Genomic DNA, 13,091 nt, shown 5'->3' with positions numbered 1-13,091 from the left:
TTCAGGAATCAGATGGACAACATAAGACTCTTGGATCAGAGCTGAAAGACTTTATAACTGACTAGAGGAAATCTCCTGAGTGATTCATAGCTTCTTTATATCAGCCAGGACCTATTGAACTAAACTCTGAGACTTTTTATTGTCATCTTTGAAAGGATCTAATATTGGCAAGTTGGACTGTAGGAGGAATTTAGTCATAAGGTGCCACTAAGACATTGTTTGGGAGATATTTTTGAACTTATTTCCCTTGGCCTATAACCTTTTCTTCTTCTCTTCATTAATAGGCAGCAAAATTAAGATGACTCATTGCCTGATTGACTGTACAGTTTTGTCAGAATATCCACTATTACTTCTCAAGCACTCTCCTCAAATCCTATTAATTGGACCATGGGACTGGGTCTTTTATTCTCCAGAAATCCACGTATCTTGTCAGCATTCCATTTTGTTGTCAGATCTGTCAAGTACTGTGAAGGGTCTGAGATGTTACCCTATTTGCAAAGATAACAGATTAGTTTCATGGATGCTGACAGATGACCTGAAACCCCTGATTCAGAGACAGAAGAAGGCTTTATTACATATAACAAAAGCAATAACCACAATGTCCCATATTTGCACTGGTTGCCTGAGCCTCAGTTCCCACAGGACAACTTGGAGGGCCAGATAACACCTGTACCCTGAATGGGTTGTGGTAAAGAGAGGAACTGAGGGTCAAGGGCCCAGCACTTTCGGAGCAAATAGTAAACATTGTCACAATCAGCAAACAACCCAGTCTTCCAGCCAACCCCAAAATGTCTGCTTCCAGTCAGAACATCCTTTTCCTCCTCTCAGAAAGAGAGTATCTGGTGTTGCAGTCTGGTGTAACCACATTCTTCTTGTTATCCCTTTCACATCAGATATCCACAGGGAACTGCTCTTCATCTACCTCAACTCTGTTCTTTTGTATGAGAAATTTCCATCACTTGATAACCCAGTGCCAAGATGTAGAGGAGAATAAATTACCAGAGAATGTCTAGAGGCCAGCCTCTATGGATGCCTATACCAAATGGACTCCAGAGCTGCCCTGTTATTACCTTACCATCTCTGGCTGGCCCTGGAATGACATTACAGTTTTCTGACACAATGCAGTCAATGGTTACACCCAGGGAAGAGTAGAGAAAGGAAAAGGGCACAGACAGAAAGTTCTGCCCACCCCTGCTTATCCCCGTTAGTGCCACCAGGTCTTCTTCAGCTCTAGGCTGCACTTTTCTGCCTTCTCCCATTCAAGTGATCTCTGTCTCCCCAGGGGTGTTGGAGAATTTTTAATTAAATTCTAGGATCCCTCCTTCTCCTTTATGTCTTTGAGTTCTTTGAATAGGGTTTATAGTAGGCAACTCGCAGCTCAGGTTAGTTTGTTCAAGTTCCAGACAAGATGACATTTAGTTTTGAAGACCTGGTTCAAATTTTGTCTCCTAAAAGTATTCTGGATACACTAATTATACTTGGCTATTGGCACTAAATCTCAGTAGAATTTATTCATACAGGTACTTTAAAATTCATTAACAATCATATTATTTAACTTTTCTGCTGTTCTTAATTTCTACCTTGTAGGTAGGACTTATATCTTATCCTTGTAATATAACCCCACAACTTTGGAGTAAGTTGGTCTGAAATGTTGGTGTTTCCAAATAGATTTTAATGGCAAGATTATTTTCACCTGGTCTCATGTTGATTACTTGGACATTACTGGAAGATCCAAAATGAAGTTGATTATAGAACTGAGATCTTGATTTTTCCATTTTTCTCTAGCATTATCCATAACCAAACTTCAGATATGATTATATGACATTAAGTTAGCCTTACAGTGGAAGATGTGCCAATGTGCAGTGTATAAAATGCTAACATTTATTTTCTTTTGACTTCTTTTTATAGAATCAGATTATTCTTATTACAACTTAATCCTGAAGAAAGCTGGACAGTTTCTAGACAATTTACACATCAACCTTTTAAAGTTTGCTTTCTCTATAAGGGCATACTCCCCAGCTATTCAGATGTTTCAGCAGGTGCGTAAAAATACCCAATCTGTATTTGACAAAGAGGCACGCTAGCAATGTACATAGAGTTCTTTAATATGAACATCTTTAGTTCAAAATGATCTACAAGTTTATAGTTGGTTCCATAGCCTATCATTGATTATATTATTATTGTTGTCATTTATTATAATGTAATTGAATATATTCTGTAATTTTTATAGTTATTTGGGATAAGGAAATTATGAGGACAAATAATTGAAATGAAGTATCATAAAATTTTAATAGAATTTTTTCAATAACTATGAAGCATGTCTTTCCTAGGATAAAGTTGATTTTATTAAAATATTTCTTAGATTCTACCTACGTATAGATGTTTTTTTACTTTAATTAGAGCAATAACTTAATAGTAGTTGATGAGTTATTTTAATCAAAGTAATGTGTGAGGGTTTTAAAATCATATTGTAATTATCAACTGCTGTAGCTAAATATAATCTTTGAAATCTTAGATTGCAGCTGATGAGCCACCACCAGATGGTTGTAATGCATTTGTGGTTATTCATAAGAAGCACACCTGTAAAATTAATGAGATTAAAAAGCTGCTGAAGAAAGCTGCTTCAAGGTAAATTAATAATAGCCTATAATGAAAGAAGTGGTTATAGAGAGGAGAGTTCAATAGCAGAAACTTCTTATAATAAAAAAAATTTAATATTCTAAGACATTGTATATTCAAGAATGTGATTTGTATTGAAAACCGTAATATATCTGAGAATGTTTTGTCTTGATTAGCTTTTGATTTTAGCATATAAATTGTGCCAAAATAACATAAAATGTATGAAATGTTTCATATAAGCATAACTTGTTTTTTGAAATAAACATGCAAAACTGAGTTTATTTGGCCTATAGCTCTTTAAATATAAACTGAATATATACCTGGGGAATAACAAAGTAATCAAAACAATAGATGAGGTTGCTTCCTATATTCAAAACTATTTTTTTGCTTTTTTGCAAGTATTTAATTTAAAAAATGGCAAATCAGAAGTAAATTATTAATTTATTAGTGATTTTTTAGAGTAATACTACCAGTATATTTTTTTTGCCTGATTATTTATACTTTAAAAAATAATAAAGTAGTTTTTTTAATTTTGAAAGAGCTCTATTAAACAGTAATATATATTTATGCATATTAATACTTAACTCACTTGTTAACAAACCATTTCTAACATTTTCTTATACTTGTATTGAATTTCATATACAAAAGACTTTTATTTTTATGTAGCCAAATTTTCCTGTGTATGTGACTTTTATATTGTTTTTATACTAACAGTTTTTCCCGAACCTGATTGGGAGATTTTACTAATTCTTTCTGTAGCTTTCTAAAAGTTTTTCCTTTTATTTTACATTAAACTTTTAATCTATCTGTAATTTATTTTCATCAAAAGGTAAGAATCCAACCAGATTTTTTTCCTCAGGTACCTAGTCAATTGTATTCATTATATTTATATTATGGTCTATTTCATAGCTCTTTGTTCTGCTCCATTATCTATTTCTTATAGTAGTGCCATACTGTTTTAATATTTATTGCTTTATTATCCAGTTTCTGACAGGAGGATTTCTTCTTCATTGTGGCTCTTTTTTCCTCCAGAATGCCTTAGCTCCTTGTATTTGTTGATGCTTTTAAGTCAACATTGGAATCCTTTTCCTCCCCAAGCTCCCCTTCCCCAAAAGCCTTGTTAGGGTTTAATTAGAATTATGTTAAAAGTATTGGTTAATTTAGGAAAAATTTACATCTGTGTTGTATTGAATCTCTTATCAAATAACATGGCATGTTTCTCTGTTCACACCTGCTTTTAAAACTTAAAGGCAGAAATAATTGCTTTATTTTATCAATTATTTTTTCAACTATTGGGATGGATACAAGGTTTTTCTCATTGGACATACTAATATATTACAAAATACTTTGAAATATTATACCTTCTTTTCAATTCTGAGGAAAACTACTGATTATTAATGGTGTGGGATTATCTTAATTTGCTTTTGAATTAAGATTGCTTTCATTTTGTTTTCATGTTTCTGTGTTAATAAATGAATAGCTGTACATTTATTGAAATTATTTGACATCTTTAATTTTTATCGGTCATTCTACTTTCGTAAAGTGAATTAGGCAGCCATATTATTCTTATTCTGGATGAGTTAATATAGGAATTATCTATTCCTTTATGGCATTATTAGACTCACTATAATATAACTCACTAGTGCATCTTTTAAAGGAAATTTTGTAATGTTTAAAATTTATTGTCATTGGTTTCTGATGTCAACTTTTATAATTATAGAAACTAAAGTATCTTGAAGATTACAAAAAAATTAACATCAAACTATTAGGAAAGTCCATCTGCCATGGGCCCTGTGAGTCCTTGCATGTTCTTTCTTGGTCTGACCAGCAAAAAATGCAAGGTCCTGACCACTCTTTACCTGGGCCATTTCTCAGGGTTGTGTTTGCAGTGAGCAACCTTGAGGAATGAGGTAATGTTTGCCTTTGGGATTGGGGACAGGGAGCAAGTGTGTTTTATTGCTTACTATAAAACAGTGCTTCCCCAAGCCCAGTGTTCCTTAACGGAAACATATGCCAACTCTGTAGGATCCATCTAAGTCCATATTTTGTCACCCCCTGTGGGACTTTGGGGGCAAGCATAGTAACGCTTATACTGCTTGCTCTATGTCATGAGCAGTAAAGTCATTTGTCTTTGACCCAGGAGTCTGTCTTATGTCTTCTATCAGAATCCATAAAAGAATAAAAGGCTAACTTATTAGTTTGTAAGTCAGGTAAAATCATACCTTAGACTTTTACAGTTCTTGGTAGTTTTGGAGACTGTCATGGGTGGGATGTTGACTGACACACAGCTTCTGGAAGAGGAAGTTCGTAAGGGCCCATGGGTCGAGAAGAAAAAGGTCAATACTTACATTTCTTCCCACTGCTCACCTCTTTCTCCCTGTACTCCTGGTGGGTGATGGTAGTCTCCTGATAACTGTGTTGTAGTCTGACACATGTTCCTTGATCTGGGCTCCTAAGGAAAAGGCACTCAAACTTGACTGATTTAATGGTTTATTGTTTTGGCTCTGATTATATAACTGGTATTGGTATTTTACATGCTTATACTGTGAATGCTGTCAATGTTTGTGAAGCCCAGAGGGAAACTGTCATTCAGAGACTACCACACATGGACACCCCCAGGTGGTCCAGCAGAAACAACAAAGAATCAATCCCAGGAGGAGAAAGGACAATCACAACTTTGTATAGACTTCATAGCTGCTGGACTACCCCGAGAGACTGTTTCTAAGTACAATAGTGCCACCTGCCTGACTCAGCCACTTAGTACACCCCTTTTTAAAATAGCAGTTCTTAAGCTCTTGTTGAAACTGAATGCCTGACCCATGGAGGCCTTGTGACTCTACCACATGACATTTACATTTTCACGTAGTTCAACTAGGAGTCAGTGTCTCGCAAGGTAAAAGGGACCCAATAAGCCTCCCTGCTCAAATGGAAATTATATATTCAAAAGCCCAGCTTCTGGGCCCTAGCATGGTATCAGGTATATGTGAAAAAGTGGCAGCTACTCTTTTGGGAGTGAACTAAATAACCCATTTCACTACCTGAAGTAAGGTCACTGGCTCAAAAGGGCCCTCAGTTCACAGTGGTTTCCCTAAATGCCTGGGCCAGGCTGCTGGGACGTTTAGCTAAGTTAACAGCTGGTGGGCTCTTCGGGCTGCCTCTGCTACCATTTCACCAGGCATAAGCCTTGTAAAACCAAAAGCTGAAGTGGTCACTCTACTCAGTGGGCAGAACTCAAGGCCGTCATCCTCTCCCTGAACAAAATCTGACCCCTTGGTTAAATATAATACATTCATACTGACTCTTGTGCTGTTGCCAATGGCCTACCTGTCTGGTCTGCCACTTGGAAGACTACAGATGGGCAGCTTAAAAATACCACTCCTTGGGGCTTGCACACTGTGAAAGTAATTTGCACTTGCCCATCTGACAGTCTGGTTTACTCCTTTAGATGTACATATTATAGACCCATTCCCTGATAAGTGTGAATAGAGACAAACTGACTATGCCAAGACCGTGTGAGGCCCTGACTGCTCTTTACCATGGCCTTTTCTCGGGGTGTTTTCAGTGAGTGACTTTGAGGGATAAGTGAGTGTTTCTCCCTGGGACAAAGGGCAACTTACTTACTGCTTGTTATTAAATGATGGGTTTCCCACATTCAGTGTTCTTTAGATGTGATCCATACCCACTGCCTGTGTAGAATTCTTGTGGGTCCATCATACTTCTCCCTGTGGAATGTGGGCCCATGGGGAACCCATGTAAACATACTAATGTTCATGTTGCTTGCTGTGCCACAAGTAATCAAGCTCTTTGACTCAGAAATCTCTGTCTTTTGCCAGAATCCATGAAACAATGAAAAGCTAACTTATTAGCTTGTAAGTAGGGTAAAACAATTCTACAGCCTGACAGAAACATTCCCCCCCCCCCCCCCCGCTATGTAGGGCAAAGTTAATAATTTTTTTTTTCCTTTTGTGAACTTCAGGCATATACTCTTGGGTTTGTGATATCTTATCAATATTGGTCAATGGTTTTTTTTTCTTATTTAAGCATATAATTTATGTTTTTACATAGGTTATGTATAGTAATATAAATATTTTAATTTTTTCCTCTCTGTAGATATGTTTCTCCTTCCTAGATTTTCTTTAGTTTTCATTTTCTTTCAGTTTTTCCAGATTAGGTTTTTATCTTTTTTTAAAGAAATGACTGATAAATTTTTTCTGCTTTTTTATTCTAATAGGTTTTGCATTTATGTATTTTCTTCTGTCTGTGGTTGAGCTAAACACTTGGTTTTTTGTGTTTTTTTTGTTTTTTTTTTCAATTATAACATATTTAGGTCATCAATGTTGCCTTTCTTTACTATGTGATATTCTCATTGTCCCAATTTCGTAAAATTCTTCTTAACAGTAGTTTTATTTACATGTTGGAAAGTAGAGTGACCACTGGGAGAAAGTTATACTCATTTAGGATGGTAATGATTGCTGTCACTTTCCCCCAGATATATAACTCATATTTTATTTTGTTTTATTTATTTATTTTTTTGAGACAAGGTCTCACTCTAGTGCCCAGGCTAGAGTGCAGTGGTGCAGTCTTGGCTTACTGCAACTTCTGCTTCCCAGGCTCAAGTTGTACTTCTGCCTCAGCCTCCTGAGTAGATGGGACTACAGGTACAAACCACCATGCTCAGCTAATTTTTGTATTTTTTGTAGAGACGGGGTCTTGCTATGTTGCCCAGGCTGGACTCGAATTCCTGAGCTCAAGCAATCTGCCTGCCTCAGCCTCCCAGAGTGCTGGGATTACAGACATGAGCTACCACTCCTGATCTTCATTCACATTTTCGTATTATGTCTATAAAGTTTTGGGGCAGTTCCAGACCATAGATTTTTGAACCAGGGAATAGGAAATAGGGAGAGATGAAGAATCAGTTTACTATTCTTTTTTTACTAGCATGTTCTTGTTCTAAGTGGTAGTTGACTGTCAGTTATGATTCTAAGTTGAACAGCATAGGTTTTATAGTTAGTAGACTTTACTCCCAATTTATGTATGATACAAAGTTATTTTTAGTTTGCAACTTCATTAAGAATTTTTGTATCTGAGTCTTTGTAAATATTTTTGGAGATACTGTAAAATTTAGTGTCAGGGACTGCTCTCCAAATGCCACTTCAAATCAATATGACCATCTTTTTTGTGGCTTTAAACTTTTGTCCCAAATGGAAAGCTGTATGTTTAAAGTTAAAAAAATCCCATATGGTCATTATAAAAGAATTCAAATACTTTAGAAAAATGCAAAGTAGAAAGGGAAAATGGCCTATAATTCTGCTAACAGTTTAGTATATGTTCTTTTTTAATGCATATATGCATATACAGACATACTTAAAAAAACATTTATTGTACTATAAAGGGTATCTTAGATCCTTCTCCCACAAAGTTATTGTGTTCTTACATGTAAATAAATAAAATTACTGGTATGTACCGATTTTATGTGTTAGGCTGTTTTTGTGTTACTATAAAGAAATACCTGAGGCTGGGTAATTTATAAGTAAAAGAGGTTTAGTTGGTTTATGGTTCTGCAGTCTGTACAAACATGGCATTAACATCTGCTTGGCTTCTGGTGAGAGCCTCAGGAACCTTACAGCCATGACAGAAGGCGAAGCTGGAACAGGCACGTCACATAGTGAGAGCATGAGCAAGAGAGTAAGGGGGGCCCCTGGGAATTGCATTTCAACATGCGATTTGGAGGGGACAAATACCCAAACTATGTCATTCTTTTCCTAGCCCCCAAAATCTCATGTCCTTCTCACATTGCAAATTACAGTCATTTCTTCCCCATGTCTTAACTCGTTCCAACATCAAGTCCAATGTCCTAAGTGCCATCTGAGACTCATCTGCTTCCACTTATGAGCCTGTAAAATCAAAACAAGTTATTTACTTCCAAGGTACAGAGATGGTGCAGGCATTGGGTAAACATTCCCGTTACCAAAGGGAGAAATCGGCCAAAAGAAAAGAGTAACAGGCCCCATGCAAGTCTGAAACACAGTAGGCAGGCACTAAATCTTAAAGCTGTCATGTAATCCTTGACTCCATGTCCCACATCGTGATGTACATCCTGGTGGGCTCCCTAGGCCTTGGGCAGCTCCAGCGCTCTAACTTTGCAGGATACAACCCACGTGGCTGCTGTCATGGGTTGGGGTTGAGTACCTCTGGGTTTTCCAGGCACAAGGTGCAAGCTGCTGGTGAATCTACCATCCTTGGTTCTGAAGGGTTGCAGCCCCCCCTCCACTAGCTCCACTAGGCAGTATCCAGGTGGGGACTCTGTGTGGGCGTTCCAACCCCACATTTCCTCTATGCACTGCCCTAGTAGAATATCTGTGGGGGCCTTGCCTGTGTGGCAGGCTCCTGCCTGGGCACCAGGCTTTTCCATACATCCTCTGAAATCTAGATGGAGGCCTCCAAGCCTCCTTCATGCTTGCCTCCTGAGCATCTGCAGACATGAGACCATGTATAAACTGCCAGGGCTTATGGCTTGTGCCCTCTGGAGCTGTGACCTGAGCTTTACCTGTGCCCCTTTGAGCCGAGGCTGGAACTGGAGCAGCTGGATGCAAGTTGCAACCTGCTGGCATGGCACAGGGCAGTGAGCATTCTTTCCTTTTAGGCCTTGGAGTGTATGATGAGAGGGGCTGCCTCATATATCTCTGAAATACCTTCCAGGCCTTTTCTTCATTGTCTTGGCTGTCAGCTCCTGGCTCCCTTTTAGTCATGCAAATCTCTCTAGCAAATGGTTGCCCAATAGCCCACTTAGATTCTTCCCCTGAAAATGGACTTTTTCTTTTCTGGCTAGGGCTGCAAATTTTTCAAACTTTTATGTTCTGCTTCCCTCTTAAATATGAATTCCAACTTAAAGCCATTTCTTTGCTCCTACATCTGAACATATGTTGTTAGAAGCAGCCAGGCCACTTCTTGAATACTTTGCTGCTTCGAAATTTCTTCCACCAAACGTCTTAAGTCATCCCTCTTAAGTTCAAACTTCCACAGATCCCTAGGGCATAAGCACAATGCAGCCAAGTTATTTGCTAAGGCATAACAAGGGTGACCTTTACTCCAGTTCCCAAAAAGTTCACCTACCATGTAGTAGATGCTGAAAAATATTGAGTGAGTGATACCGTAATGAAATGAATAAATAAGTTTCATTATTCCACTCCTTGCGGTGTATATATAGGTAGTTTACAGTAAACAATATCTAATTGAACTTCCTTGTACATATATCTTTGCATAGTTACCTTGGTTATTTTCTTAAATTTCTAGAACTAAAATCTCTAGGTAAGTACATGTATATTAAAGTGTATACTACAAAATTGTCTTCAGAAAGCTGAAGTTTTATACTCTACTTCTAAAATTTTTACCAATGCTAATTTGTATTAATTCTCTTTAACACCTTAGTCAATTCAGTAAATTGCTACTTTTAAATATAATTATTTAATTTTCAAAGATCATTTTCCTCTTATCCAGCCATCCTCTATAGGTATAATTTTTCTACCTATGATATATCCAAGCAGTTCCTGAAATAATCATAAAAGCAAATTTTGAAAGTTATGTGTCTATAGGTACAGGAAGGAAGGTACTGTCGATTACAGACTCAGCAAATGGTAGAGAGCCCTTACCTTTGTGTGTAAAGTCTATTCCATTTCCTCTAATTTTTCCTTTTATATTCAACCTCAATATTTATCTCCTAGCATAGTTTTATTGGCAGCCTTTCTAGTTTTCTTTCTTTTTTTTTTTTTTTGAGACGGAGTCTTGCTCTGTTGCCCAGACTGGAGTGCAGTGATGCGATCTCGGCTCACTGCAAGCTCCACCTCCTGGATTCATGCCATTCTCCTGCCTCAGCCTCCCGAGTAGCTGGGACTACAGGCGTCTGCCACCACGCCCGGCTAATTTTTTGTATTTTTGGTACAGACAGGGTTTCACCATGTTAGCCAGGATGGTCTCGATATCCTGACCTCATGATCCGCCCACCTCGGCCTCCCAAAGTGCTGGGATTTCAGGCCTGAGCCACCGCGCCTGGCCGCCTTTCTAGTTTTCAACAGTAGTAAATTCTTTGAAGGAAGAATTTTTCAGGCTTAAATTAAAATTTAAGATTCCTTATATAAATTACTAAATGTACTTCTATGATACTGATTTGATAAAATCAGGTTTATAAAATGATAATCCAGCTGCTATATAAGTGACATTTGAGTTCCAAGATTTCAGTTAAAATTTATGAGAATAATTTTAATAGTTTCATGCAAGAATCTCTTTCACTTCTCTTTTCAAAGTGAAGTATGATTTTGTATCCTTTTAGCATTTATTAATAGCCTCTCATGAAGAAAGACAGCAAATTCAGTGTCTCTTGTTTTGCACATTCATGTCTCTTCATCGGTTACAGAAGATTAATAATGAAGTGAAATTCTATTTGGGGTTAAGATTCTATTTACTTTATGCTTCAGCTGTCCAAGCATTGACAGTAGTAACATTTCTATATTGCTGTTGAGTAATGGCACAAATTCTAAGCCAAATAACTGTGGAAATCTCTCAAATTATTCTGTTAGTCAATAAGATTGAATGCTTGAATGATTTTGATTTAGAATATGTTGAGTCAGTAAGTAGTTAAGCTAGAATTGAATCCAATTCTGCCTGATCTCAAAACCCACCTTCTTTTCACTAACGTGCTGTAGGAATGTTACTCATACCTTTTTTCTTCTGTCCTTAATATTTGTTATCCAAAGGTAGTAATTGACTGAATGATTGTAGAGATCAGAATTCACTAAATAAAAGGTTATTTCTCAACATCCTTGTTACTCTGAACTTCCTTATCTCTTGGTTTGCTTTCTACCTGTATAAATTGCCAAAACATATGGGCTTTGGAATTCCATAAACATGAGTTGAAATTCTGGCTTTCCATTTGATCTTTTCCTGAATAGTTAACTTATCTGAGCCTCAGAAACTTAAAAGTTTCAGTGATGGTAGCTGTCTAATTTTTCTTGTGAAATAGAATTTACTAATAAGTGTAAAGAACCTAGCACAGTGCCTGGCAAATAAGAAGTCAGTTAAAGTCTGTTTCTGATGATAATGCTAGACCATAAGAGTCCTGGTTTCTTTGCTTATACTTGGGGATTTGATGAGTACTTGTTCATACTAAGTACTGATAGTCTTTGAATAAGGTAGTACTTTTGCTTTGTGCCTTAAATATTTATACCTTGTTTTCAGGAAATATGAGCTGTAATGAAAAATTATAACCTAACTGCATAAAATATAAATTTTATTTCACTGAAAATTGTGCTGCCATTATATGTTATTGTTTAAAGATAATAAACCTTGTTGGGAAATAAAGTATTTTTAATATTAGATTTGGGTTAACCAAATTCTTTTCTTTCTTTTCTGTCATTTAGTTCAAGTTATGTGTACAAAGTCATCACAGGAAATTTAAATTCTTTTTCTGTGATTATGTATATTATGAATTGTTTGATAAGCAGTAATTATACAGAATTGATATGCCATTAACTTTCAGTTTTTTCAAAACTTTGTGTTTTGCTTTTATCTTAGGACTAGACCTTATCTATTTAAAGGAGATCACAAATTTCCTACAAACAAAGAGAACTTACCAGTGGTGATTCTCTATGCCGAAATGGGTACTAGAACATTTAGTGCATTTCACAAAGTATTGTCTGAAAAAGCTCAAAATGAGGAAATTCTGTATGTTCTTCGCCATTATATTCAGGTATGCGCTTGTTTTTTCCAAGGTTGCTTTTGGCTGTAGAAAAAAACAATTATTATGATAATCGTCTTACTAGATTTAAATATTAATTTTCACCAGAATAGTTATCTAACTTTTTTTAACTTAACAAATGTGAATTTCATGTGGAAAAATATATTGGGATTCTGTCTCTTCTGGGGGTATGATGTCTATAATTCTTTGCCTTATATCTGGCACAAATTTAAAACTTGGATAAAAAACAAAAACATACTTCAATAATGTGTATAATATTTGCTAAGAATTTGCAATTAAGAAATCTGATTTACTCAACATACTAATATATACAGTACTAGATCAAAGTGCAAAGCATGGTGTTGGAATACTGTTAACTCTTTCTTTTGAGACCTGACTACTTTTCATTCAGGTATCTGGTATGTGCTGTATTGTTCCCGTTCCTCTAGCCTGCCGTTGCTATGACACTATCACATTTTTCTGTTTTAATGATTTCATAGCACTTATTACTGTATCTCCTCAAGTTTATTTAACACTTTCAGAGCACATACATGCACACACACACACACACACACATGCGTATGAATATAATGGCCATTAGAGGAAGGACTATGCTTTGTTACTACTGTCTTCCCAACATGGAGTGCTTTAATTTGCATTTCCCAAATTATTAAGATTTATATACTAATATTTAATCTAATTAAAACCTTAAAAATATATTTGTAAATTGCCTGTCCGTAGC

At 36.4% G+C, this 13,091-nt stretch overlaps 1 protein-coding gene across 9 annotated transcripts in view, besides 1 other annotated feature; it reads left to right on the top strand.

Annotated features, from left to right (window-relative positions):
- The window catches only part of UGGT2 (UDP-glucose glycoprotein glucosyltransferase 2), a 251,822-nt gene that overhangs the window by 27,734 nt on the left and 210,997 nt on the right, over window positions 1–13,091 (top strand). For all 9 annotated transcript variants that reach the window (XR_931617.2, XM_047430471.1, NM_020121.4 and 6 more), the window contains exons 3-5: window positions 1,909–2,039; window positions 2,516–2,628; window positions 12,187–12,361. Coding sequence is in view for 8 of the 9 variants with exons in the window: in XM_047430471.1 (XP_047286427.1) it covers window positions 1,909–2,039; window positions 2,516–2,628; window positions 12,187–12,361 (419 nt within the window). In the remaining variant the exon portion in view is untranslated. The remainder of the gene's footprint in view (window positions 1–1,908; window positions 2,040–2,515; window positions 2,629–12,186; window positions 12,362–13,091) is intronic.
- Window positions 10,586–11,086: an enhancer, noted in NCBI's record as "H3K4me1 hESC enhancer chr13:96666836-96667336 (GRCh37/hg19 assembly coordinates)". NCBI's record gives its function as "activates a minimal SCP1, AML or CMV promoter by ChIP-STARR-seq in primed H9 embryonic stem cells {active_cell/tissue: H9 hESC(primed)}" and the evidence as "EXISTENCE:reporter gene assay evidence [ECO:0000049][PMID:30033119]".

Source organism: Homo sapiens, chromosome 13, assembly GCF_000001405.40.
Source record: "Homo sapiens chromosome 13, GRCh38.p14 Primary Assembly".
NCBI classification, from domain to species: domain Eukaryota; kingdom Metazoa; phylum Chordata; class Mammalia; order Primates; family Hominidae; genus Homo; species Homo sapiens.
This window is presented reverse-complemented; position numbering and strand designations above follow the sequence as displayed.